At 51.1% G+C, this 27,380-nt stretch overlaps 1 protein-coding gene and 1 long non-coding RNA gene across 5 annotated transcripts in view, besides 9 other annotated features; one reads left to right on the plus strand and one right to left on the minus strand.

Moving 5' to 3' along the window:
* Positions 1,833 to 1,902: an enhancer, noted in NCBI's record as "active region_17253". NCBI's record gives its function as "activates an Ori minimal core promoter by ATAC-STARR-seq in GM12878 lymphoblastoid cells {active_cell/tissue: GM12878}" and the evidence as "EXISTENCE:reporter gene assay evidence [ECO:0000049][PMID:35858748]".
* GCSIR (GPR55 cis regulatory suppressor of immune response RNA) lies at positions 2,470 to 20,441 on the plus strand. The gene is made up of 4 exons (NR_038238.1): positions 2,470 to 2,893; positions 11,322 to 11,529; positions 11,883 to 13,014; positions 20,313 to 20,441. It is a non-coding gene; the product is annotated as a GPR55 cis regulatory suppressor of immune response RNA (long non-coding RNA).
* Positions 8,900 to 9,479: an enhancer, noted in NCBI's record as "H3K4me1 hESC enhancer chr2:231757691-231758270 (GRCh37/hg19 assembly coordinates)". NCBI's record gives its function as "activates a minimal SCP1, AML or CMV promoter by ChIP-STARR-seq in naive H9 embryonic stem cells {active_cell/tissue: H9 hESC(naive)}" and the evidence as "EXISTENCE:reporter gene assay evidence [ECO:0000049][PMID:30033119]".
* Positions 9,480 to 10,059: an enhancer, noted in NCBI's record as "H3K4me1 hESC enhancer chr2:231758271-231758850 (GRCh37/hg19 assembly coordinates)". NCBI's record gives its function as "activates a minimal SCP1, AML or CMV promoter by ChIP-STARR-seq in naive H9 embryonic stem cells {active_cell/tissue: H9 hESC(naive)}" and the evidence as "EXISTENCE:reporter gene assay evidence [ECO:0000049][PMID:30033119]".
* Positions 9,513 to 9,752: an enhancer, noted in NCBI's record as "active region_17254". NCBI's record gives its function as "activates an Ori minimal core promoter by ATAC-STARR-seq in GM12878 lymphoblastoid cells {active_cell/tissue: GM12878}" and the evidence as "EXISTENCE:reporter gene assay evidence [ECO:0000049][PMID:35858748]".
* Positions 18,252 to 18,331: a silencer, noted in NCBI's record as "silent region_12418". NCBI's record gives its function as "represses an Ori minimal core promoter by ATAC-STARR-seq in GM12878 lymphoblastoid cells {active_cell/tissue: GM12878}" and the evidence as "EXISTENCE:reporter gene assay evidence [ECO:0000049][PMID:35858748]".
* Positions 18,402 to 18,461: a silencer, noted in NCBI's record as "silent region_12419". NCBI's record gives its function as "represses an Ori minimal core promoter by ATAC-STARR-seq in GM12878 lymphoblastoid cells {active_cell/tissue: GM12878}" and the evidence as "EXISTENCE:reporter gene assay evidence [ECO:0000049][PMID:35858748]".
* Positions 23,252 to 27,380, minus strand: part of GPR55 (G protein-coupled receptor 55) — a 53,874-nt gene continuing 49,745 nt past the window's right edge. For all 4 annotated transcript variants that reach the window (XM_011512175.4, XM_011512176.3, NM_005683.4 and 1 more), the window contains exon 2: positions 23,252 to 27,020. In XM_011512175.4, the coding sequence (XP_011510477.1) occupies positions 25,927 to 26,886 (960 nt within the window). In that variant the 5' untranslated portion in view covers positions 26,887 to 27,020 and the 3' untranslated portion in view covers positions 23,252 to 25,926. The remainder of the gene's footprint in view (positions 27,021 to 27,380) is intronic.
* Positions 24,376 to 25,575: an enhancer, noted in NCBI's record as "CDK7 strongly-dependent group 2 enhancer chr2:231773167-231774366 (GRCh37/hg19 assembly coordinates)". NCBI's record gives its function as "activates an origin of replication core promoter dependent on BRD2, BRD4, P300/CBP, MED14 and CDK7 cofactors, with strong dependence on CDK7, by STARR-seq in HCT116 cells {active_cell/tissue: HCT116}" and the evidence as "EXISTENCE:reporter gene assay evidence [ECO:0000049][PMID:35650434]".
* Positions 24,631 to 24,740: an enhancer, noted in NCBI's record as "active region_17255". NCBI's record gives its function as "activates an Ori minimal core promoter by ATAC-STARR-seq in GM12878 lymphoblastoid cells {active_cell/tissue: GM12878}" and the evidence as "EXISTENCE:reporter gene assay evidence [ECO:0000049][PMID:35858748]".
* Positions 24,751 to 24,870: an enhancer, noted in NCBI's record as "active region_17256". NCBI's record gives its function as "activates an Ori minimal core promoter by ATAC-STARR-seq in GM12878 lymphoblastoid cells {active_cell/tissue: GM12878}" and the evidence as "EXISTENCE:reporter gene assay evidence [ECO:0000049][PMID:35858748]".

Here is a 27,380-nt window from a genome sequence, read left to right on the forward strand (position 1 = left end):
GGGGTTTCACCATGTTAGCCAGGATGGTCTCAATGCCCTCATGATCCGCCCACCTCAGCCTCCCAAAGTGCTGGGATTACAGGTGTGAGCCACCGCGCCTGGCCTTCTGTTGAGGTTCTTAATGGACTTATATGAAATCTATAGATCCACTTGGGGAGAATTGAAATCAGGATATTGAGTGCTCTCACCCATGAACATGGTATTTTTAAAATCTGCATTGTTAATGTCTTCCAACATAGTTTTATACTTTCCTCAGTAGGGGTCTTACAAATCTTTCATTACATTGATTCCTATGTCCCTTATATTTGTTGTTATGATGTTTAATAATTATACCTTTGTTGCCAATGTGTAGAAGTATAATTTATTTTTGAGTATTGATCCAGCAAACTTGCCGGGCTGTCTTTCTTATTCCACAAAGTTCTCTGAGGAAATTTTTTTTTTTTTTTTTTTTTTTGAGACAGAGTCTCACTCTATCACCCAGGCTGGAGTACAATGGTACAATCTAGGCTCACTGCAACCTCCGCCTCTAGGGTTCAAGCGATTCTCCTGCTTCAGCCTCCCGAGTAGCTGGAATTACAGGCCCATGCCACTACACCTGGCTAATTTTTGTCTTTTTAGTACAGACGGGGTTTTGCCATGTTGGCCAGGCTGGTCTCGAACTCCTGACCTCAAGTGATCCACCTGCCTCAGCCTCCCAAAGTGCTGGGATTACAAGCGGGAGCTACAGTGCCCAGCCTTGTGCTTTGTAGACAAGCAATTCTGGTAACTGATTATGAGTAAATTTTGTTTCTTCCATTCAAATAATTAAAACTTTTATTTATTTTTCTTGTGCTATCTTACTGGGTAGGAGCTCTGGCACCATGGTGATAGCCACAAATCTTGTTTTGTTCTTGATTTAAAAGGAAATTCACCTTGAATATAGTTTAGCTGTAAATATTAGAAGAATACTCTTTGAGATTTAAGAAGTTCTCTATTCTTAGTTTTCAAAGTGTTTTTATTTTTAATCAAGGATTGATATTAAATTGTTTTATCAAATGTTTTTTCTGCATCTATTCATATGTTTGCATATCTGTTAATGTGGCGAATATTGCTAACTGATTTAGTCATGAGGTATTTTCTTATATCTATGCTACTGGATTCCATTTGCTAACATTTTGTTTAGGAATTTTAGATATATGTTTTTTGTAACATTGGCCTGTAATGGGAGTAAATTAGTTTGACAAAATCAAATTTTAAAATGCAATGTTTTTGGCCCAGAATGTATCCTATGGATGTACTCCATAGGATATGCAAAAGTATATGTACAAGCATATTTATTGTTATAATAGCAAGAAACTAAAGACAAATGTCCTTTAGTTGGAGACTTGGTATTTTAAAAAAGTACAGTATTTTGTTGCTATTACAAAGAATGAGGTAGATCTATTTGTGCTGATGTGTAAAGTTCTCCGAAATCTATAATTAGGGTAAAGCAGGTGGCAAGAGCAAGAATATATATTTATCTCTATCCCGTTTGTGAATTTTTTAAGTGATAGCGCTATGGCTGTGCATGTGCTATTTCTGGAAGCGCACTCAAAGCCTTGTAACACCAGTTCCCTCTGGAGAGCAGGGATGGCAGGAAGCTGTAGGACTACGTCTCTTTCTACACCTTTTTATAATTCATAAGCATGAGCATGTATTGGTCTCTGTACACCTGCCCCTGGGCTTGAGGAGGCCCTGCTGGCTGCAATGTCTCACTTTCACCTAACTGCACGGAGTCTCAGCCACTTCCCTCCAGCCCTCGAGGACTGTCACCCATCCTAGAATGGAGGCCTTGCATTAGGCCCGGGTTTGGCCAGAAGAATAGAGCAGTTGGAAATGTTAAGTTGACATAAATAGGAAGCTCTGTAACCTCGTGCAAGTGTTGTCTTGGAAACCAGAGCCTGGGCGGTCTCCATGGAAACCGTGCTCAGCCTTCTGCCTGAAGGAGTTACCACCCACTGGTGCTGGAGTGTTACTTATCAGGGACCTCAGAGCTCCAATAACTGCTTAGGGAATGATGATGGACTGGTCCCTGCCCACCCTGGCCATGTCAGGTGTGGGGCCCTGGGCACCTCCAGCTCTCTGCCTGGGAAAGAAAAAGAGCCCATTTCCATGGGACGTGCCCTCATGGGGAGGCACAGCAGACCACCCAAGGCAGCACATGCAGTGTCCCCGAAGTAAGGAGGGAGTCCTGTGTCCCGAGGTCCCGGGGATCTGGACTCTGCCATTGTCCCCTGGTGCATCTGTACAGCTGTGGTGGGCTAACATCATCTCTGGGCTCCAACTTGCCCTTCTGTAAAATGGGGAGTTTGGACCAAGTCATTCTGAAGGTCTTTTCCAGCTTTAATGACACGTGTTTTGCATGTGACCTGGCAGCACAGGGTTCAGAGGAGGGAGAGATCAGAGTGACTAGTGCAGGCTTCCTGGGGAACCATTTGAGCTTTGAAGGTGGGGAAGAGGAATGTCAGAGAGTGGGCAAAATACAACAGGAAAGGTCCAAATTCACCCTCTGAGGGCCCGGGGCACGGGGGCAGCCTGCTCTCCTCCTGGGGCCCTGTTCCCTGTGGGGACTGGAAGAGAGGCTTTGAGTCTAGGGCCTGGGGCAGCCAGGACTGACGGGGGTGCAGTCCTAGAAGGGTCGGCAGTCACGGTGGCCCACCATGGCATCTCCGTATCCTTGCTGCATGCTGCACCCACTCCAGCTGCCAGAGCACGGAGGCAGAGACGTGGGAGCCGATGAAGGTCGCACGCCAGCCTCCCACCTGTGAGACAAAGGGCCCTGTCACTGGAAGCCACGTCCAGCCTGGCCCCGCAGGAGCCAGGGCTCTGCGCCTAACGGAGGACTGATGGGAAAGGGAAGGCTGGCAGCAGTGAGGTAATGGGGTGGGGGGTGGGGGTGGGAGGCAGGGGGAGGTGGGGAGGACAGGGAGGGGAGGGAGGGAAGGGGAGGGACTTTAGCCAGCACGCTTGTCCCACACTGAGCGAGTGCCCACAGTGTTCAAGCAGTCAGTATGCCAGCAGTTTTTCATTGATTACTTTTGTTCGTGTCTCGCGTTATCTCTGGGGTGAGTATGAATTTCATAGCCACAAACTCAGGTGTCCAAAGTATCTTTATTGGTATCTTTATTTTTCTATAATAGTGTGTTTTGTGTAATAATCTAGTTTTCAAACCTTCCCTTAGTCTAGTGGCAGAATGTGTAATCTTGATATTTTCTAGGTAAACTCGGTCATCACTTCAGTTTGCCCTTTTCAAAGATATTAATTTTTGCCCTCCCTTCCCCACCAGGGGCCAATCATCTGAATCACGTTCCTGTATTCAGGATTTGCCCCTCCAAAACAGTTTTGATGGGAGACACCAGCCACCTACTATTATGCAGCCATGCACCACATAACGACGTTTCAGGCAACAATGACTGCACATACCACAGTGGTCCCGTAAAATTACAATGGAGCTGAAAAATTCCTATTGCCTAGTGACGTCACAGCCATTGTAAGGTCAGAGTGCAACACATCACTCATGTGTTTGTGTTGATGCTGCTGTAAACAAACCTACCGCACTGCCAGTCATATAAAAGTATAGCCCATACAATTATGTGTAGTACTTAATACTTAATAATAATAAACAACTATGTTGCTGGTTTACGTATTTACTACACTGTGTTTTTAATTGCTAATAAGAGTGTACTCTTTTTAGTTATTAAAAAAAAAGTTAACTGTAAACAGACTCAGCAGATCCTTCAGGAGGTTTCCAGAAGAAGGCATTGTCATCATAGGAGGTGACAGCTCCATGCATGCATTGCCTCTGAAGTCCTTCCAGTGGGACAGGATGTGGAGGTGGAGATGGTGATACTGATGGTCCTGACCCTATGTAGGCCTAGGCTCATGTGTGTGTTAGTGTCTAGTTTTTAACTAAAAAGTTTAAAAGTTAAAAAAAAAATTTTTAATAGAAAAAAAGGGGGACTGGGCGTGGTGTAATCCCAGCACTTTGGGAGGCCGAGGCAGGCGGATCACCTGAGGTCAGAAATTCGAGATCAGCCTGGCCGACATGGTGAAGCCCCGTCTCTACTAAAAACACAAAAATTAGCTGGGCGTGGTGGTGCGCACCTGTAATCCCAGCTACTTGGGGGGCTGAGGGAGGAGAATAGCTTGAACCCAGGAGGCGGATGTTGCAGTGAGCCGAGACACACCATTGCACTCCAGCTTGGGTGACAAGAGGGAGACTCTGCCTCAAAAAAAAAAAAAAAGAACAAAAGACTAAGGGTACAAAGAAAATACTTTGTGAAGCTCTATGTGTTGGTGTTTTATGCTAAGTATTATTATAGAAAAGTCCAAAGGTTTTTAAAAATTGAAAAGTTTATAAAGGAAAAAAAAGGTACAGTAAGCTAAGGTTACATTACTATTGAGGAAAGAAAAAATCTTCCGTAAATGTGGTGTAGCCTAAATGTACAGCGTTTACAAAGTCTACAGCAGTGGTCGGTAATGTCCCAGGCCTTCCCATTCACTCACCAACCACTCACTGACTCACCCAGAGCAACCTCCAGTCCTGCAAGCTCCATTCATGGTAAGCGCCTTACACAGGTGTACCATATTTTTATTTTTCCTACCATATTTTGAACGATATTTTTCTATGTTTAGATACACCATTGTGTTGCGATTGCCTACAGTATTCAGTACAGAAACATGCTGCACAGGCTTGTGGCCTAGGAGCAACAGGATAACCCGTATAGCCCAGGTGTGCAGTAGGCTATGCCATGTAGGCTAACATGTATAGCCCAGGTGTGCAGTAGGCTATGCCATGCGGGTTTGTGTAAGTGCACCCTACGATGTTCACACAATGAAACTGCCTGACAATGCATTTCTCAGGACATATCCCTGTTGTTAAGCTGAATCTGTTTTTCCCAGTGCCCCTTGGGGCTGGAGTCAAGCATGTGACCAGGCTCAGCCAATCAGATGTTTCCTCTCTGTATTAGTCCATGTTCACACTGCAATGAAGATTCTACCTGAGACTGGGTAATTTAGAAAGGAAAGAGGTTTAATTGACTCACGGTTCCACGTGGCTGGGGAGGCCTCTGGAAACTTACCATCGCGGCCGAAGGCGAAGGGGAAGCAAGGCACGTGTTAGTCTCACATGTGGCAGGAGAGAGAGAGAGAGCACGGCGGGGAAGTGCCAGACACTTATCAAACAACCAGAACTCATGAGTGACGACTCATGGGAGAAACTGCCCCCCGATCCAATCACCTCCCACCAGGCTCCTCCCTTGATGCGGGGATTACAATGTGAGATGAGATTTGGGTGGGGACAAAGAGCCATACCATATCACACCCAGACCATGCCATAGGGACAAGTGACTCAGGAAGGGGGACAGTGAAAAATGCATCCTGGTAGAGGGGACAACAGCAACACAGAGTCTCGTGGGCATCAGGAAGGTGGTGGCATCATCTCCACATTCTGGAGCCCGCGGTTCCCTTTGTGGTCTCCCAATTGCTGAAGTGGTTTCTCCAGCCCACCCAGTGACTCTGAGCCACCCAGTGTCCCGTCAATCAATTCCTTTCTTCCTAAATTCACCAGAATTGTTCCCAGTGTTTGTGTCACAGTTTTATTGAACACGGGAGCCTTGTGGGGTGTAATCCGAAAACAATTCTTTCTCCCACTACCTTTTCAAGCCTGGTCGGTGGGTTGGGTTCTCCTCTGACCTTGGATGAAATTGAAGGTAGGTTTCTTGGTTTTTCTGGTCCATCCAAGATAATAAAAATCCCTTGGGTAACTTTTATTCACACAAATCCAATTTCAGTAATTACAACATCTAACTATCAAAACAGTTGAAACTCCAGATGGCATTTGAAGTTAAAACCACTCCCTTGCCCCATCCCAGACCTGCCCACATGGGAAGCCTACAAGGCGCGTGGGGAGCTTGGCGGGTTTCTCCTCCATGCCCCTGCCTCATGCTTCTACTTTTCCTCCCCTTCACTAGGCTCCTCGGCGCCTCCAAGTTTGGGACAGTAGCGTGAGGGCTTGGCGTCGGGCGTCGGAGCAGGAGAGGTCACTAGTTGTCTTAGTCGGTGTGTGTTGCTGTAAAGGAACACCTGAGGCTGGGGAATTTATAAGGAAAACGGGCTTATTTGGTTCACGATTCTGCTGGCTGGAAGACTGGGCATCTAGTGAAAGCCTCGGGCTGCTTCCACTCGTGGCAGAAGGCGAACAGAGCTGGCGTGAGATCACACGCAGAGATCATGTGGAGAGAGAGGAAGCAAGAGAGACACGGGAGGCAAAGGTTCTTTTTAACAACCAGCTCTCGTGGGAACTAACGGAGTGAAACTCACTTGCCTCTGTAGGAGGGCAATAATCTATTCATGAGGGTTCCAACCTATGACCAGAACACCTCCCATTAGGCCCCACCTCCAACATTGATCCAAACTGTAGCACTAGCATCACCAGTTCACCCTCCCTCAGGTGGATGCTCCATGAGAGTCCCTGGTCCCCGTCCTCACCACTAGCTGCACCTCAATGCAGGCAAACTCTCCCTCAGCTTCATTTTCTTGGACTGGATCTAAGTAACTCAGACCAGCTTCTGAAACATTCACACACCCTTTGATGCTACAGAATCCAGCAGAATGGGTTATTTGCTGGCACACACCTCTTCTTGTCCTGTGCTCCAAGCAACAAGCAGGCAGCTCCAGCCACAGCCTCTCACTACTTGCTTCCCCAGGGGCTTGGCCCCCACCCAGTCCACAGGGCTCCCTTCCAAATTACTCCCAGGCCCCATGTCCAGGTCTCCCAGCAGTCTCAGTGAAGCCCCTCTCACTAGGCATAAGGCAGAGTGGTGGTGCGCCGGACTCTGTGATCATTCTCTCCTTAGAAATGTTCTCTCTGGCTGGCACTGTGGCTCCCCCCTGTAATCCCAGCAGTTTGGGAGGCCGAGGCACGAGGATCACTTGAGGCCAGGAGTTCAAGAACAGCCTGGGAAACACAGGCCATTTAAATTTTTTGTCTGTACAAAAAAATTTAAAAATCAGCTGGGCATGGTGATATGTACCTGTAGTCCTGGCTACTTGGGAAGACTGCTTGAGCCTGGGAGCTCGAGGCTGCAGTGAGCCATGATCTCACCACTGCACTCCACCCTGGGTGACAGAGTGAAACTGTCTCTAAAAAAGAAAAAAAAAAAGAAATGTTCTCTCTATTTGGCCTTCAGTTAGCAGCCAGGAGTGGAGGATGGGCAAGAGTTGCACAGTTGGTTTGAGGTCGCCTCCTTTGCACGTCCTTTATTTTGGAATGTCTGACTCATGGGCACAATCCCCCTCTTTTCTCAGATCCCTGAGGGGCTGACAAGTCTCTTCCTTGGAGCTAACCCCCGGTGATGGGGGCGTAGAGGACCCAAGGACCCCCCACCCCATTCCTGCTACCTCACCAGCATCTGATTTCTTTTTCCCTGGACTTGTGAAGTCTTTATCTAGACTTGGGGGAGGAGATGTGGGGAAAGGGAAAAGGAAAGGAAAGCCTCATTAGGTGGACAGATGGTTTAGGTCTTACAGTTCCCCCAGCGGGCATCTGGGGCAGCTGGTTCTAAGTGGAGGAGGGGCTGCCACGGGGAGTCTGAACCTGAGGCCACCTGCACCCCCCTAACCCTCAGCTGAGCTGGGAGTTCAGGGAACAGGACGTGAAAGGAAGTTGAGCAGCCGCAACCTGGGGTGAAGGCTCAGAGCTTTGGATGATACCCTATGCGTCAGTGGTGGTAGAACAGCCCCGAGGCTTGGTGGCAAGACAGTGGGCTCTGGACCACCAGACCTGGGTTTGTATCTCATTTCTGCCATTGACTGGCTGGATGATGGTTTTGGTTATCTATTTCTGCATAACAAATACCCCAAACCTTGTTGCTTAAAAGAGTAATCGGCCAGGTGTGGTGGCTCACGTGTGTAATCCCAGCACTTTGGGAGGCCGAGGTGGGTGAATCACAAGGTCAGGAGTTCAAGACCAGTCTGGCCAACGTGGTGAAACCCCGTCTCTACTAAAAATACAAAAAATTAGCTGAGCATGGTGGTGGGCACCTGTAATCCCAGCTACTCAGGAGGCTGAGGAAGGAGACTCGCTTGAACCCGGGAGGCAGAGGTTGCAGTGAGCCCAGATCGTGCCACTGCACTCCAGCCTGGGCAATAGTGTGAGACTCCATCTCAAAAAAAAAGAAAAAAAAAAGAGTAATTATGTGCTCAAGATTTTACAGTTTGGAAGGGCTGAGCAGGGATGATTTCTTTGTGCCCTGTGTGTCATTATCTGAGCTGTCTTTAGGGAGGCAAGATCTACTTCAACCACAGTGTCCTATCAGTTCCGAGCTCAGCTGGGACTGTCAGCTGAGAGCCTCAACTCTCCTCCAAATAGTCCTCTCCTCTTTCCTGCTTGGGCTTCCCCACAACATGGAGACTGGGTCCCAAAAGGGAGGAGGCAGACGCTGTCAAGCCTACTTAGTGCCTGGGCTCTGAGGTCCCAGGACATCATTTCCCCTGTATTCTTTGGCCAAAGAAGTTGTGGGCCCATCCTAGATTCAAGATGAGGGGACATAAGGACCACCTCTCGAGGGGAGAAGTGCCGTGCGTGTATAGGGAGGGCAAGATTGTCTGCAGCCATCTTTGGATACTAGCTACCACAGCAAGCATGAGCAAGTTATTCAATCTCTCCAAGTCTCAGTTTCCTACTCTATAAACTGGAAATAATAATATCTATCTCACGTGGTTGTTGATAGCATTAAAGAAGTTCTCAGCGGAGCTCACAACAGTCGGAAGCATGTGTCTGTACAGCCCACGGCTCAAAAGAATTCACTCTGACTTAGACAATCCTGAGCACACACAGCATCCAGACGATGGTGGAAAACTTCTCCCACCACAAGTCCTTTCAGCACCTGCCACTGCCACCTCTTCTATCTCTGCTCCCTCCCTGCCTCTAGTATCCTCACCCCCCAAATCCCCTCAGCCTTTTCTCCTCTTCTTCCTGTGAGTCACCCTGGAGATGCAGCAAGTACAGAGGAATCTGGTCTTGGCTCTGGGCAGGGTGTTTAGGTGGTGGGTCTCCCAAGTTGGGACCCATTGCCCCCTCCTAGAGAAAAATGCTCGCATTACCCTCTGCTCCTGACCCGAAGCCCCCCACACCAGCTCCCACTAACTGGAAGCCAGTGCTGTAAACCTACAGCTCCCACATGCTCCATGAGGGTCTCTGGTCCCCGTCCTCACCGCTAGCTGCACCTCAATGCAGGTGAACTCCCCCAGCTTCATTTTCTTGGATGCTTCAGGAGGACCCCCCTTTGTGGTAGAGGTAGGGAAAAGGAGAAGGCTTCTAAGAGGAGGCCACTCCCAGCTCCAGCCCCAGCCCCAGCCTCAGCCTGGGCAGCCACAACCGCTGCAGTTTCAGTGCACAGCAGCCACTGCGAGCCTGGGCGCCCATCTGCAGACTCCCAGCCCAGGCCCTGACCATGCAGTTTCGGTGGGAAGTCGGGGGCAGGGCTTACCCGTCCTGGGGTAGTCCCCAGGCCTGTCTGGATTCAGACAATTAGAAGCAGTAGCTGCAGCAATCAGATGGAGCACTGTGTAATTTGGGAAATGGGGCAGCTCTAGCTGGTCTGAGAAGCAAAAGCCCTTCCTTTCTATTTTAAAATATAAAACTTGATTTTTCTAGGCGTTCAGAAATGCCTGGTTCATGGGGGCCGGGGCAGGCCTGGGCTACCTAGAGAGCTGTGGCGATGGGGGACCTTACAGCAGGAGGGTGGGAGGGGATGAAATGCGTCCTGTCTCAGGAGTGCCCCTTTCTCCAGGCGTCATGGAGGGCATCCTAGCTCCTGACCACCCAGGGGGCAGCCACCTCCCAGGCCTGCAATCCCGTGTTGAGACCCAGGCCCACCCAGGTTGTTTCTCCCTTAGGTGACCCCTCCCAACCAGAGCTGTCCCTGAACTCCTGATTCCGGTCCACTGTTACCGGGGAGACTGCTGTCCCCAGGCCTCCCCAGGCCAGGCTGTGCTGAGCAGAGGCTGTACCTCCAAACCCAGGAAGGCTTCCAGTTGGATCGCTTCTGACTTTGTCTTCTTGTTGTTGCTGCTGGTAATAAAACTCACATTTACCAGAATTGGGGCAAACAGAATGGAAAGAACAGCATTTCGGTGACTGGTGCCAAGTCTCAGGGTTTTAGTAGCCCCACTTGGGCAGCCAAGAGCCTGGGAAATTAGATGCCCTGGCTCAGGAGGGCTGCGTTCACCAGTTTCACACACGGTCCCCCGCTCCTTGGGGTCTTGGGTGCACGGCAGGTGCAAACACCCCACACCACGTGCCCCGAGGCTGGGAGCCGTGAAGACACCCCCCACCACTTCCACTTCCGTTTCTGCACAGAAGGTGGTGTCACAGTTTTCCAAACTGTTAAGAGAATTTCTTTTGTGCATGACATTGTTCAGCTCACCCAGGCTGCAGCCTGGGACGGAACCAAAACAGAAGTGAGTAAGGAGAAGTGAGTCAGTCATGCATTCAACACATATTCTTGAGCCCCGTTATGTTCCGGGCCCTGTTGGGGACTGGGGACAGAGAGGAGCAGCATGCTGCCCCTGTCCTCTAGGAGCTCACAGACCTGCTATCCCCAAGATGGGCCACACTCTTCTGCCTCTTTGTCTGGGTAGACCTGATGTCTAGACCAAGACATAAAACGGGCTTTTGGAGCATTGCTGCGGAGCCTGCAGGGTGGTGGGCCTTGGGCAGGGTGGTGGGCCCTGGGCTGTGTGCTGGGCATGGAAAGGCGAACAAGAAACGAACCCTACTCTCGCAAGGCTGATGGTCTAGTCGGGTAGAAGAAGAAACTGGAAGTTATTGGACAGTGCGCTAAGTGTTAGGATGGGGGAGTTCCAGGGCACTGTGGGGACAGGTATACCCAGACCAACCAAGCAAACAAGGGGACTTATGTGTTTAATTCATATTAAATGTCATACTAGGCCGGGCGTGGTGGCTCACACCTGTAATCCCAGAACTTTGGGAGTCCAAGATGGGTGGATCACAAGGTCAGGAGTTCAAGATCAGCCTGGCCAAGATGGTGAAACCCCGTCTCTACTAAAAATACAAAAAATTAGCTGGGTGTGGGACAGGCGCCTGTAATCCCAGCTACTCGGGAGGCTGAGGCAGTGAATTGCTTGAACCTGGGAGGCAGAGGTTGCAGTGAGCCGAGATAGAGCCACTGCACTCCAGCCTGGGTGACAGAGGGAGACTCCATCTCAAAATAAAGAAATAAATAAGTAAATAAATAAATAAATGTCATACTGTGCCACCAAGGCCAATGTCTTCACAGGTTTTTTGACCTTGGCAATGTTCCCGTCAGACTGCAGAAGAATTGACTATTCCCGTTCAGGTAGATGATGACCGGCCCCATAAACAGCCACCAAGGGTCACCCTCTCCCTCCCCAGCCCTGAAGGCCAAGAAATGGGACTGGGCTCCTTGGATTTATGACCTTCTGGCTCCTGCAGAGAGAGGAGGACTGGGGCTTGACAAGGACACGGTAAGCTGGACAGACTCCTGCACGGTGTAGGCTTGAGGCCACATTCCTCGTCCCTCTCTGGCTGGGGGCTGGGGCTGGGTGGACATGGTTCCTCCGTGATGTTCTGCCACCCAGCAGCTTGCCACCCTCTCCAGGTCCTTTGGCAAAATTTCAAACCACGCTGATTGACCTTGGAGCTCCACCCACATCCACACCCTTGGCTGTGTCAGAAACTCCACTACAGGCAAGAAAACAAGGGAACTGGGGTTTATGACTTCTGTTCAGCTTCATTAAATATTTGCTGAGCAACTTTTAGAGGAGTTTTCTGGATTCCACAGAGGGGACTAACTAATTCCACCTCTTCCTTTTAGCAGGGGCTAAGGACTGTCCTTGGATCTCAGTAGGACAGCTGACCTTCCCTCCACCCAATGACTGCTCCAGTCTGATCGTTCCTGGCCACCTGATAATCTCTTTGTGCAAACACCAGGAAGCCCTGGTTAGAGGTGTGGACACCAGGTGTTCTTGAGGAGGACAGTGGTGACTCAGTTTTATCTGACCCCATGCTCTCAAGTTCCTTTTCTGTGAGACACTTCTTATGTGCTACTTTGGACCCTCTCACTTATCTGTGGGCCATTGGCCACTGGCCCCAGCCACAGCTGAGACCACCAACTCTGCATGGACTCAGACAGGCTTCACCCAGGCACACCCAGCAGCCCCTGCCTCAGGTCCCAGCTATGCACCCCTTAGGCTTGCCTGGATACTAGGATGGGAGACACTGCATCCATCCATCCACGACCAGCAAGTAGAGGCAATTAATACCCTTCAGGCGACCCAACGCGAGCTGGGAGCCTGTGCACAAATTATTCTCCTTTTCTCCCAAAAGGATTGTGCCGAGAAACATTTGTGCAGCTTCCCGGAGGATGGCCCTTGGGGTCGAGCAAGCAGTTATGTTTGTTACCAAGCCTCGGCCAGCTCCATAACACACCCTGGAGTTGGCACCACTTCCTTCCCAGCTACACTCCCCTTTCTCTCACACCTGCTCCCTGGGGTCACCTCCCTACCAAAGGAGGGGCACAGGAGCCTTTGTTTCCCGCTCTGCTTTCCAAGAAACCCAAACCAAGCCATGCTGAGTTCCTTCCAGAGCTCCACTTCCACTTCACGGGATCCTCTTAGTACCACAGTCAGCACCCAACATGCCTCTGAGATGGGCGTGTGATCCTGACTGGCCAGTCGGCGCCTTATTTCTCTGGCCACAGAACTTGGCTCAGGAGATGACATGTGACCAATCCGAATTTTCCCTGGGGACTGATACGTGGACACCAGGGACCTCGTGCACCAGTAAGGTCGCTGCCTTCCTTCTCTGCCAGAGATGATTCTGTCTCATCCAATCAAGACTTGAGTGGACTCCAGCTTCCCAGAAAGCCTTTCTCCATCATCCCAGCCCCACGAGATCTTACCCGCTTCACTGGTAACACCCAGAATCCTCAGCACAACTGCTACCACCAGGTACTGCCTTGCTCCTTTACACTGTTATGTTGTTTGAATCTGTTATGCAGCTGATTATGTGTATTCCTATTTCTACTAGGCACACATGGTTCTACCTGGCTAACTACAGTGGATTCATTGCCCAAATGAGGTAGGCAGCTGCTTCAACATATAGAGAGGCCAGGTATCCAATATAAGGAACCACATTATCCCAGTTTGCCTGGAACTTTCCAAGCTTTAACACTGAGTAGCCTTGGTCTCCCTCAGTCCTGGACAGACTGGGACATTTGGTCACCTTGTTCAATGAGCAGGAGCAGGAGGAGAGTGTTGTCTAGGAGAAGCCCCCTTTTATTTATTTCCCTTCTGAGACAGGGTCTCGCTCTGTCACCCAGGTTGGGGTCCAGTGGCAGGATCACAGCTCATTGCAGCCTCAACCTCCCGAGCTCATGCAATCCTCCCACCTCAGCCCCCCAAGTAGCTGGGATGACAAGCACACCACCACACCCAGTTATTATTATTATTATTATTATTTTTAATAGAGACAAGGTCTCACTACATTGCCCAGGCTGGTCTCAAACTCCTGAGCTCACGCGATCCTACCACCTTGGCCTCCCAAAGTGCTTACAGGTGTGAGTCACTGCACCCGGCCGGGAAGCCTCTTTTTAAAGTAAAGGACATAGACTGCACAGATTCAGCCCAGACTCCATCTATTTATCTATTTAATTGAGCTCCTACAATTTATTGAGCTTCTACTATGTGTCTGACACTCTGCTAAGTTCTGAAGATCCAGAGATGAACAAGACCTAGTCCCTTCCCTGAAGAGTTTATAGTTCAGAGCAGGCATTAGGGAAATTTTTTGCAAAGGGCTAGATTACAAGTGTTTTCAGTTTTACAAACCATACAGTCTCTGTCATAACTACCGTGGTCTGCTGTAGCTCCAAAGCAGCCACTGCAGACAGTGTGAATGGACATGACTGTGTCCCCACAAGACTTGAAGGGCAGCAGCCTCCTGGCACAGAGGTGGAGAAAAACACACAAAGCCTCAGAGCACCTGCCAGGCCCCTGCTGAAGGTAGCAGCTCCAGGCGGCCCCATAGGCGGCATCTCACATGGCCCCATCTCCTCCGCCGTGGTTGACTGGACCAGGGAGGAGCACGTGATTCACAGGTAGCCCATCCTCAGGCTGCCAGTGATGGACACGGGTGGAGAGGCCAGCAGAGATAGTGGCCGCCAGCTGGGACAACGGTGGTAGGAGACAGAGACCGAAAGGCAGGAAGGATAGAGCAGAGCCAATAGACTTCCCTGGACCCTCAAGCCCTTCCAAACCTGAGCCGTGTTCCAGGCCCCATGGGGACCTCCCGGGAGGTCTTGCTGTGAGCCTGTCCTGGGACCCGGGCAGGCTTGCACGGAGCTGAGAGTCCTGTCTTCTTTATTTCCATGTACATCCTTCAACAAAACAGCTTTTGCTTCCTTCTTTCTTGTTTAACAATTCAGTAATTTTTAGAAAATTTATAAAGTTGTGCAACCATGCAACCATCACTGTCACCCAGCTTCCATAATAAACCTGAATGAGCTCCCTGCACTCAAGAGACCCTCACTCACCCCAGTTCCTTGTGGAAAGTTAGGGTGCCATGGGATCACAGAGGAGGGACCCCCAGCTGGGGCCAGGGGCTCCGAGAAGTCTTCCCAGAGAGACCCAAGGACAGTCAGAGAATTCCTGGGATGATGTGGGGAAGGGGGATCCCCATCACCTCTTTGACCTTTAGTGGGCAGCAAGGGCCAACATCTGACCAGGTGCCTCGTGCAGCAGGCATGGTGTAGACAGAACACTTTGTCAGATGCCGATGAATCAAGCAGCTTTCCTTTTCCTCCATACCCTCCATGCCCTCCTGTGGCAGCCTCAGTCCACCCCAGCGTCCTTAGACAGGGCCTTGCAGGCCAGGGCACACTGCAGGAAAGGGAAGAATCTGCACGTGGCTCCCTGGGGCCGTCGATGATGGGCTTTGCTGCCTGCACCACCCGAGTTTTCATCCAAGAAAACACCCTAACCTGGTATTTCCCAAGGAATTCAAGTGAAATTGTCAAAAGGGCTTACATCCCTGTTTTAAGGCTGTGGAAGAGGTCTGGCCATACAATCTCCCTCTCCCTTTCCCCTTCACCCCCAGGAAAGAGAGAATCTCCAAGCACCCATACCCAGGGCCTCTGTCTTCCCACTCCCCTCTCCCATCTCCCCATAAGGAGCCTTTCTCTTGCTGAAGCAGGAAACTTCATTTTGCTAACAGGAAGCTTCTTTGTTCCCTGCAAGAGAAACCAGCTCCAGCTAATTCAAGCAAAAGAAGGCTCTTCGCAGGGATGTGGAGCAGCTCACAGTTGCAAAGAGGTTGCTGAGCAACGTGCACTGCCTGGAGGTGACTGCAGCGGCCCTGGGCTTCCCTGGGCTCCCCCGCTGGCAGACAGAATCTGACAGCACGGTTTGGTGCAAGGGTCCCTGGCCTTGGTCCTTTGGATCACTCAGTGACAGGGAACAGGAGCCAGTCTGCTTCCCTATCCCATTAGAAGGATCTGGATTTGCTCCATTCACCCAGACCTGGGTTTCACCAGGAACTAGGGGTGTACATCATCTATGCCCAAACCCAGGGCACCCCTGAGTATACGGCATTTCCCAGTGGGCCATTAAGAAGATGCGCATACAGAAGAGATTGTTTTTCCAAGTGAGAAGATCCAGCTTGAATATACAAACTATTAGGGTTGTGCATGTAATTGTTTAAATGTCTCCTGTAGGAGTTAATGCATTTGGTTTTCAAGACATCTTTTAATTCCACAGAAGGTAACTCCTTTCCACTTTCACATTTCATGGAACATTTTTTCATCTCAACCTGTCACCAGCATCTTGAGTGTCTGTCTCCTCATCACCCCTGAGCCACGGTTTGAGTCACCGGTGACTTTCAGGGTACGTCACCTCCGTCTCCTCTCAGTTACAGAGATTCAGCACTTTTTAAATCCCCACATGATGCTATCACTGGAAATTGTATCTAAGTTGCAAGTGCCCCTTCTCATAATATTGAGGGACTTAAAGTTGTTAGTTGAACCTTAAGAGAAATATGAGAATCTTCTTAACTGGTGATTGGGGCACACCAGGAACCCCGGCATTATCATCAATCCTACCAGAGGGCTTCTGCACACAGCCAGGTATAAGGGGCTTGGAGCAAGCCCCTAGCTGTCTGTTATTATTAGCTGGTGCTATGGGGCCAGGACCCAGGGTCTTTGAGCCTGCGGTTGCTTCCTGGTCTGAAGCGAGGGCTGGGGCAGTGGTGATGACTGCAGCTGTCAATCACCAGGTATTTATCAGCTCTGCTCTGCACCCAGCCTGTGCCAGGCACACAGGGTGGACGGGAGCCACGAGACCTTGCTGTGAGAGGTGATTAAGAAGGAGCATTTCTACTTAGGACACCGGTGCAAGGGAGGACCAAATGAGGTGTAACAGACAAGGAGAGAATAAGCCTGTTCTCGACCAGGTGCAATTGAGTAGTGGAAGCCAGTGGGTGGGCTTGTGACAGCCCCTACTGGGGAGCAGATGGGTCGCCCCTTGATGGCTCAGGATCTTTGAAGAGCCCTGAGAGGATTTTGGAGTGGGTACGGTGGGCCAGGACACAGAGACCCAGAGTGGGTGTTAGCATGGGGTGCCATGCAAAAATCACTTACAAGGGCATCAGAGAGCTGGTGCTGCTCATGCCCCCATGGGCCTCAGCTTCCACGTCTGCACAATAGTTCCCTTCAAGCCAAGGTCTTGTTACAGACCTGTTTCTAGCCCCAACTCCTCCAGCTTTATGGGGTCACCCCCCCTTTTTAAATCTCCAAGCAGAAGGGCTTGTGATTTTATCCCACATTCAGTGGGAACCCTAGCATCTCCCATCATAGTCGTAGAAACTGCCAAATTCTCCTCTGAGCCCTGAGTCCTACAGGAACTGTCCTCCACGTGTATCTGAGCCCACAGGGAGCACATTCCCCCTTTCTTTCTCCAATAAAGGACAGCTGACTCCAGGGAGAACTGGTGGGAGACTTCCCTGAAGGCCAGGGGTGACGGAGATGGATGGTAATGCACAGCAACCAGAAACACCCCCCAGCCCCATCCTGCCAAGGGAGTGCTCCTTCCCTTATGCCACCCCCTCACCTGGTTTGGTTGGTTTCAGATGCAGTGCAGCCTTGGGAAGTCGGTGCTGGACCCCACCTGTGCAGCCTGTTTGCCGCAATTTCAGAGTCACTGGAGATACAGTATTTATAAAAGCGTTTCTCTCTTGGTTTGAACTACAGCTTTGCTCCCAGTTTCAATGTATATAGTCCTTGGAGGAACAACCCTGGCCAAGAAGTTATACCAGAGGCAACTGACCCCTAAGAGCAGGTGATGAAGAGCAGGAGGAGAGAGATGGCTGCAAGCTGGAAGAAGGGTGGTAGTTTGCAGTGGTGGGGACAGGGGATACCACAGGAGGGGATTAGGAATTGGGAAAAGGACTCACAATCGTGTCAAAGGCAGAATCTGCTGGGAGTGGTTGGGCCTTGGAGATGCTTGATGGGGTGACAATTAGGTGACCCCAAGTACTTTCATGAGAACTTTTATAACATAAGGTTAGGGAGCCGGATGCAGTGGTTCACACCCGTAGTCCCAGCATTTTGGGAGGCTGAGGCGGGAGGATCACTCGAGCCCAGGAGTTTGAGCCCAGCCTGGCCAACAGGGTGAAACTCCATCTCTACTAAAAATACAAAATATTAGTCAGGCATGGTGGCAGGTGCCTGTAGTCCCAGCTACTCGGGAGGCTGAGGCAGGAGAATCACTTGAACCCGAGAGGCGGAGGTTGCCATGAGCTGAGATAGCACCACTGCTCTCCAACCTGGGCAACAGAGCAAGACTCTGTCTCAAAAACAAAACAAAAACAAAAACAAAACCATAAAGGTAGGTAAGGTCATCCTCTGATAGTGGAACTTACTACATAGATACATGCCAGGAGGCAGTAATAGTAATAAAATATCATATAAGACGATGATGATGGTGAAACTGGTATGACCTACTTCACCAACTTAGATTACAAAATGGTCAAATTTCTTTTATTGCTTAATTTATTTTTCCCTATGGGTCTTTTAGGCAGAAGACTTGCCCCCAAATTACTCAAAGACCCCAGGGACCTCCTTTGCTTCCACACCTGAGGGAGGAGAGCCAGGGTTCCATCAGCCCCTGCTGCTGTTTCTCCAAGCTGTCACAAGGTGACACTGTTGCAGCTTGGTGTCTCAAGGAGGGACGCTGCTGCCCCAGACGCTGGGATGCCCTTGGTGGTTGAGGTTCAGGCTTAAGACTCTTCTTAGTTATCATTTCACACTCGGCCATCCCTTCCCAAAGCATAGCTCCTGGGGCAGGGCGGCTGGGTTTGAAGGGGTGTCCAGTATCAGCCACGTTCCATGCTGGCCAGAACAGTGTTATCAGTTGAGATCCCCCTTAACACAAGGTGATTTATTTTGGGGGCCTCATTGCTTGCCCCTGCCACTGATTCTTGGATTGCCCTACAACTCCTAGACAGGTATCCCTGACTTTGCATCTCTGAGATTGGGGACTGGGATATGGGTGTCTTTGCTTTCAGAGGGCCCTGGGACTCTGCTTCCTATAGTGCGGCATACAAAGAGGGCCGGCCAGCTTCTCTAAGCCCCACAAACAAAGGTCCTGGGTCAGCCCAAACCCCAAGAGGAAGAGGATGGGACCCTGGGGGCTCACATTTGCATAACAAAGCGGGCACACAAATGATCCTTCACCAGAGGAAGAACACCTGTGCCCAGGTTCCTTATGTCTCTGCCTAACCCAAAAGTTCTCAACCTGGGGATCAGGAGTAGAATTCACGGGTGTCATGAACTTGCTGAGGGAAAACATTACATGCTATTTTCACTAATCACTAACTGAAGGTAGCATTTCCTTCCATTACGCACGTAGACATCACACCACAGTACGATAGATGGTGTGGTTCCTGGGACTTGTCACCAATAGACATCACAGATACTCTCATATCCCACTACAGTTGCTGCAGATAATTCAAAATAACTTCTCAGTTCATCATAAATTCAAAATTATGATAATCATTAAACCCATCACTAGATCTTGTTATCCAGTGCCTAAAGAAACATATATTGCTACGTTGGTGACTACATTTCCATATATCTGGTTTCCTCTCTAATTCCATGCATTTTTACTTGATGCATGTGAAACTGCCCTTCTGGGGAAGGTCCACAGGCTTCCTCCTGACTGCAGGAGGATCGATGGCACGAGATGAATTAAGACCCCATGGCCTGCTGGGCATTGTGGCTCACGCCTGTAATCCCAACATTTTGCGAGGCCAAGGCAGGTAGATTGCTTCAGCCCAGGAGTTCAAGACCAGCCCAGGCAACATGGCGAGACCCTGTCTTTACAAAAAATACAAAAATTAGCCAGGCATTGTGGTGTGCACCTACAGTCCCAGCTACTCAGGGGGTTGAAGCAGGAGGATCCCTTGAGCCCAGGAGGTTGAGGCTGCAGTGAGCTGTGATCATGCCACTGTACTCAGCCTGGCAGACAGGAGTGAGACTTTGTCTTAAAACGAAACAAACAAACGGAAAAACAAAACAAAAGACCTAGTGCCAGAGCTTTCATCATTCTCAGAGGCTGCCTAAAGCCCTACCTGAAAAGGATGCTAGGTTTGTGAGTCCAAAGGTCAGCCGGGGAAGGTGCAGGGCTACTGTGGTTCCCAAGAAGAGCCCAGACAAGCATTCTGCTGAAGGAGCCTCAGACATGAAGGTGCGAGAGCATTTAACGCGGAGGGCTTGGGGCCTGCAGGAGTGAGCTGCGTGCCCAAGTGTCATACGGATGCCTCTGTTGAAAGGCCCAGTCCTCGATGGGCACCATGGCTGTGACCAGTGTGGACTGAAACCCAGGGTTCTCTGCAAACAGTGCAGTCATCAAGGGATGCCCCAGCTAGGACCCGCGCAGGATCTTGGGGGCGGAAGGGATCCAGTGAAATGGAGCTGGAGCATCCTCCAGTAAACCTTGGTGAATTAGGGCAAGTTACGTTCAATTTGAAGAAATAAGAGAAGTGTGACTTCTACTCCAGGTTAGCCTAGAAGCCGTTCCTGTGAATTGAAGTGTCCCCCCCAAAATTCACATGCTGGAGCCCTAACCCCCAGTGTAACAGTATTTGGAGACATGGCTTTTAGGTAAAATGAAGTAAGGGTGGGGCCTGATCCTGTAGGATTAATGTCCTTAGCAGAAGAGACACCAGAGAGTTTGTTTCCTCTCTCTCTGCCTCTTAGGACACAGTGAGGAGGTGGTCATCAGCAACCCAGGAAGAGTGGCCTCACCAGAAACTGACCCTGCCAGACCTCGATCTGAGACTTCCAGCCTCCAGAACTGTGGGACATAAATTCCTGTTGTTTAAGGTACTCAGTCTGCAGTGTTTTATTATGGCAGCTCAGGTAGACTGACAACATACTTGCCATATATGGGTGTTTTTTGCAGTGTAAAGTCCCAGGGAAGAAATATCAATAGCTGACAGATCTCTTAACCATCAATTTCATCCCACTTTGTTCATATAATTGAAATAGTCCTGTCTTTGGGGTCATATACCCTTTAATAATACTCAGAGAATAATGACTTTGCTCCTCACACTCCATTAATATGGGAAGTCCTATTTTCTGTGGGTTCCCCCCTCCAGGCATCTCTGGGTCTCATGCTCTGCTGTAAAGCTCATACTGATTCCCCTTGGTGAAAGCTGTGCCCTGGCTGCGACTTGAAGTTGGTACTGAAGATTTAGGAAACTGAAGGAAATCCACAGCAAAGAGGCTGGTATCTACTGCCGAAGGGGGCCACACCCAGTGCCCAGTGCCCAGTGCCCAGCAACGCGTGGCCCATCTTGGGGAGGGAGAGGTCTCTCCACCTACCTAATGCTGTCTGGAGACCCATCCCCACAAACATGTCCCACCCTGAGCCGGTCCTCTGGAGCCCTCCTTAACCACTCCAGGCCCACTGGCCTCAAGGCTTCTCCACTGCCCTCAGGGAAACCCCTCCACCCACTCCCAGAACTGTGCTTTGGCTGGGGGCTCACACAGCGATCACTGGGTCATTGGACATCAGTTTTCCCCAGTCAGGGTCATTCCGTCTGAAATGCACTAGGCACTGACTTGGGGAATCGGCTGTTTGGAAAATCTGGGTTTAGCCAGATCTAGTCAACTCTGGCACAACTTTCCTAAACTCTGTGTGGCCTCCACCGGCAAGCCGCTCCGAGACACCACTTGAACGAGAAACGCACACGTGTGTATGCATTCTCATCTGCACTACGCACAGCCCAAAGCCACCTACTGAGAAGAGAGGCTTTTTGGAGACATCTGTCTGCACCCTAAGCAGCCTTTGCATAACTGTGCTGGCCCCGGTGGAGATGCAGGTCCCCCCTGCAGGCAGCGTCTTTGTTACACTCACTCAGGCGTGGGCCTCCGGAATAAAGCTGTCATCTGAAGCCTCAAAAGTGAACCAGAGCCGCGTCTGGCTTTGAAGTGACAGTGCTTCTGATCCTACCTCACGAGACTTCAAAGCACAAAGGGCCACGTTTCTGTCGTGACTCATGGTTGAGGCACCATGTGGCCTTTTCTGCAACAGCTTTGCAAGGAGGTCATATCTTGCAGGCTCCTGGCCTGGGAGGGAGCGCTCAGGCCTGCAGTGGGGCAGAGGGACGTCTGTTTTGTCCTTCCACTTCAAGCTCCTGGAGTCCCTCTTGACCTGCTATCCACACCCCCTCAAATGGCTGTTCATGGCTCTGTGCCCTCGGCTCACTAGAGAAGCCAGCTCTGGGTGGAAAAAGCCAGTGGGGCCTGTGATGGTAGTTTCAGGGGAGTGCTCACCCAGAAAAGGCACCTTTGGCATGTCTTTGAGTCCTCTGTCCCCCCGCAGTGGTAAGGTTGTCAAGTGGTCCCTGCCAGCCTTTATTTGGCCCTGGAAAGTCGCTGTCCACAGTACAACTGACTCTTGAGGACAGTTGAAGGGTGGTCTGGCGTGGGCATCCCCACACAGCTCCTCCTGCTATGGGGATGTCCCCACCCTTGCCTCTTGACTGTTCTGCACGCCAGCCTCTCCTCACACCCACACAGTGGCTCTGCCCAATTTCTTTCCGCACTGGTCTATTAACTGAATCCTTTTTAACCTCTAGGAATCTCTACAACTGTTATCAGGCCTCAGTCATTTCAAGCACCTTTGCAATCTCCATCCCTTTGTGGTCTTGCTACAAGGGTGTTATCTTACGCTTCCAGAGGTCTTTGGTATCCTGTGGCAATTACATAGTATTAGTATCATGACTTTCAGCTTCCGAGGGTCCCCAGAGAGGTAACTCAAGAGGAATATAGTTGACAAATGCACCTTGTGAACTGACATTCTCCAAGTCAAATCCTCCCTGGGGCCAAGCGGAGGTGGTCACTATCCCTAGGGGACGTGGCCTACATGGGGGGTGGCTCCTAGATTAGTAGGAGATGGTTAGATGGAGCAAAGATGTCCCCCTTGGCCCTCAGCACCCACGCCATGATCAGCTGCGCTCGGGATTGTGGGGAACTCAGGACAGAGAGTGGCCCAGGCCAGAGCCTAGCAGGGCACAGCTTCTGGGAGCTCTCCAAAGGCTAGCAAAATTCACTGTGAAGTGCGGAAAAGAACCTAGGAGAATCCACCCTTGGAAAGTCGGATTCCCACCACAGGAGGTCAGAGAAGGGAGGGAAGGGCCACCGAGGAGGACCTCTAGAGACTGGCCCTGTGTCTTCAGCCCCTCAGTTCTTCAGCCCCTCAGTCGGTCAGCAGGTTTCTCATACTGGGCCCCCCACCCCTGTGTATGCAGAGAAGCCAGGGCCTGTAGAAGCAGCTGCAGTGTCACGGTGGCAGTGCGACAAGGTGGTGGTGGGACAAGGTGGCAAGGGCAGGGTGGGGTCGACTGCAGCCGAGTATGCGGGGTCTGTGTAGCCTGGCTGCTACCACAGAGAACCAAGCACCCGTGTGGATGTGGGGGAGTGGAAACTAGACCCCAAAGGGTCTGGCTCCTGGTCACCTGGACAGGCCCAGCTGTGCTCCTGAGCAGGGAGGGCCACTCCCTGCAGCCCCACACTTGGTGGCCAGGTGGCTGCTGAAGAGACCAAGATTGTTGGGTGACCTGGCAGGGGCCATCTGGGGCCTGCTCTTCTCCGGGTCCAGTAAGCTTAGTCCAAGACAAGGTCACAAGGCATCACATGAATCTATTTATTTGGCGAATCAGATTAATCAAGTCATTTTTTCCAAAGCTAACCGTCCGCCCCTCCTGTGCTGCTGGGCCCCACTGCTGATTATGGGCCAGCTTGGGTTGCAGCTATGTGGGTCCAAACTCTCGGCCCTCCTGCCGAGCAGCCGTAGTGGCCTGCAGCATGGACCTGTGCCCGCTCCCACAGACACGGGTCCCCACGGAGAAGAGGCCCTTCTTTCCACAGTGTTTTGGGATGGGTCAGGGGTCCCCAGGGCACACCCACAGGTCCATAGTTGTCACATCACACTGAGACTGCTGATACCCTCCAAGGACCTTCCTCTTACAGCCATGCAGCTCCTGGGTCCTGGCTCCCCTCCCCGTCCCTCCCTACATGATCAGGTCCTCTCAGCTGTCTAGAGCCCTTTCTGTCACCTGGAGAGAGTCATGCTGCACATAGATAAGATTTTATGTTTGAACATCGCTGGGGATGATAGTTGGTTAGGTCCACCCACCCTTGTCTCTTAGGAAGCCCATCTGGCCTTAAGCACATTGGTAGACCCAAGTGCACATGACGGGCATCACTCAACTCCACCAGGCAGGCTCCCAACTCCTCGTGCAGAGAAAGAAGTGGGAGGAGGGTGGTCACTAAATCCACCACCCGTAGACACTGACCCGAACCAGCCCCAAATGCCCCGTTGCATGTGAAAGTCTGGCTCCCTCAGAGTATCACGGGTGGGTCTCTGTCTAGGGTGGCCATGGGAGAGGGCAGCCTGCAGGCAAGGAGAGGAGTGTCTGGGGTTTGGGGCAGCCAGGCAGCCTTACCTCTGGGTCTGCAGAGCCTGACTCTGTGGCTGTGGTTCTTAGAGGCCCAGCTCAGGGGGCCTGAGCCTCCGATCCCTCTGGTCTGGTCTGGTCTGGTCTGGTCACTCCTCCACATCCACTTCCACCCCTTCATTGACGCTCTCTTCCTCACCCTTCCCTCCATCCACCTAGGAGGAGGTGTACAGGGTGCCACTTGAACACAGCAACAGCGGGAGCTGCTCCTGAGAAGGCGACTCCTGTCCGTCCATGGCTCTTAGGCCAGCTGGGAAAGCTCTCAGGCAGGAAGCAGCTCAGCCAGGTTCCCCACCCACCCTGCACTCCCTGCAGGCTTCAAGCCTAGGGCCACGGCTCAGCTTCCCCTCCTTTTCCTCTTCCTCTTCCTCCTCCTCCTCCCCACAGGTCCAGGTTTATCCAAATGCTTCTCTTCTTCCCCTCAGGTCACCACCCCTCCCAAGCCCTTCAGCCCCCACTGAGCCCAGATCCTACAAGTAGACCTCAGTTGCTTTTCCTCCTGAAGACCTTGCTCACATGAAGTCTCATCAGTTACTCCTCATCCCACTCGCTCTGTCATGCAAAACCACCCCACAATGGATCCTTCTCATCATTTCACTCTCCGGAGCAGCTGAGTCATTGGGAGGCTTCCGCTGTCACTTGCACTCCTCCTCCAGATCCGTTGAGAAGCCATCCAGGCGTGACTCAATTGTTTACAGTTTCCTGGGACCAGCAGGGACCCCCCCTTGCCTTCTTTCTCAAGGCCACACCCTTGTGCCTAGCTGCCTCATCTCCCTCCCAGCTGCCAGGGAGGGACGGCTCCATGGGCAGTGCCACGGGTGCCAGCTGCCCAGCCAGGATGCAGGTGAGTAAGACAGCACCTCCTCCACCCTCCTATGGTGGAACCAAGGCAGGCCTGATTCTTTGCCATTGTTTTCAAGGAAGCTAGCTGTAATGAGCAACTTCCCAGTCTGTTTAAGATAGAAAGCAGGTCGGGGTCTCCCCGCTCCCAGGCCGTCTCTCACTGTCTCTCTTCACCCTGGGCCAGCACCAACACTCCGTGCTGTGGACACCCTGATGGTGATAGGGGAGGGGCTGTGTGCTTCCAGCCCTGGGCCTGTCTTCTTCCTTCCCCAGAAGTGTCCTTTCCTCTCCCCCCTCATGGCTCTTGGATGTCATCAACACCCCACTCAGTCATTTTGCAGTCTTCTCACGGGCACGGAAAGGTGTGGCTGGCTTCCTTCACCTTTCTGAGGCTCACTGGAAACTTGGGGTGATCCATGCTACTTGCCCAGCCCCAACACCACCCCTTCTTGCTGTCATCTCAGTGAGGCTTTTGGCAACACAGTTCCAGAAGGGACTGGAAAATGCAAGTCTGCTCTGTTCTGGGACACCCAAACTAAAAAGGGACTTCACTCATCCCTACCACCCCACCTCTGCCCAAGACACTCTCCCCAATAACTGACTCTCTTGGCTCCCTCCTTTACCTCTTTTCTCTCTCTCTCTTTCTTTCCAGAACCTCCCAGTCGAACAGGAAAATGGGGAGAGTTGGAAACAGCCTTGTTGACATGGTCTCATTCTCTTTCTCAATTCTTCTGCTCTATAGTTTTTGGACTTAGAAATCAGTAATTCACCTGGTCTGTGGGTTCTTCAGAGATCCCTGAACACTGGGTGGTATAAGCTGTCTGGGCAGTGGAAAAAAGGTCTTTGGGGTATAATGAGCAAAGCTGGCACTCAATGGGCATCAAAGGGAAGCACATCAGTGAAGATGGTGCGGATCATCCCACCACATCAAAACCCTGGAACGCGATATCCGTTACCAGAATTCAGGGCCAGGGCTTTCTTCCCCTGAACAGGATGTCCTTCCGTTAGCCCCGGGAGATCGTGGTGTCCTGCAGGACCAGCTGGACCCTGGAAGGCCGGTGGGCCCTGATGTTCATGCGGAATTCTTTGATGACAAAGTAGTAGCAGAAAACATCCAGGCAGCAGTTGACGTTGGAGAAACACATGGACAATTGCAAGAAGAAGCTGATGCTCTGCTTGGCTCTGCACTCTACGATAAAGCTGTTTCTCACCAGGAACTGCAGGAAGAACCCCAGGTGGACTGGGAGGAAGGAGACCACGAAGACAGCCAGGCTGGCTGCGATGCTGTAGATGCAGGCTTTCTGCTGCACCCAGTCCTGGGTGTGGTCTCGGCGGCCCAGCAGGATGTGGATGCTCCTGGAGCAGCAGAAGCCCATGATGCCCATGGGAAGGAGGAAGCCAAACACCTCCAGCGGGAAGAAGACCTTGGCGCTCCAGGTATCATCAGACATGTTGTGGAAGCACATGTATTTTTCCACTTTCCCATGGAAACTGTAGATAGGGATGCTTCCGGTCCACACCAGGACCCAGATGGTGCAGCAGATCCCAAAGATCTTCCTGGGGGACCGGAGGTGGCTCACCAGTAGCGGGTAACGGATGGCCAAGAACCGGTCCATGCTGATGAAGCAGATGGTGAAGACGCTTCCGTACATGCTGACGAAGTAAAGGCACTCCACCAGGGTGCACAGGGACGGGAAGGGGGACTGTACCTGGGACAGGACCATCTTGAATGGGAGGGAGAGCACCAGCAGCAGGTCAAAGACTGCCAGGTTGATCATGTAGATGGAGGTGGCAGCATAATCGGGCCACCTGTTCTTAAGGAAGGTGCTGAAGCCATGGATGGCCAGCAGGTTGAGGAGCAGGCCCAGGACGAAGGTGGGGATGTGGACTGCAAACTGTAGGGTTTTCATCAGCTCGTTGACACCGTCAAACAGGCAGTCCCCACTGGTGTTTTGCTGACTCATGTTTCTTCCTACAACACCAACAGATCAGACGGGGCTCCTTTCACTCTCTTGAAGTGATGGATTCAAATGACTTTGTCAAGAATCACAAACACCTCCCCAGCATCACACAGCAATTCATGCCCATTGAATCACAACTAGAACACAGAAAAGAAAAATTACCTTTAATCCTGCTGCCCAGATGCAACCACTGTTACTTTTTGTGTATATCATTCCAGACTCGCTTTCTCACTCTCTTTCTACCATACACACATTTTTCTTTGACAAATATAGAACCTGCTGTGCATGGACATCTGTCTTTTAAATCAGAACTCCTTTTGTTGAAAGAAGTAACAGCACATACCCAGACCCAAACAGGCTGAAGCAAAGAGACAGTTTCACATAATGGAAAACATGAAAACTAGGGTAGGGCTGACTTCAGGAGCAGCTGGATCAGGGATTCAAATGCTGTTTCCAGGACTCAGCTCCTTTTGTCTCCTTTGTCCTCCTCCCACCCA

This window comes from Homo sapiens, chromosome 2, assembly GCF_000001405.40.
Source record: "Homo sapiens chromosome 2, GRCh38.p14 Primary Assembly".
Classification (NCBI taxonomy): domain Eukaryota; kingdom Metazoa; phylum Chordata; class Mammalia; order Primates; family Hominidae; genus Homo; species Homo sapiens.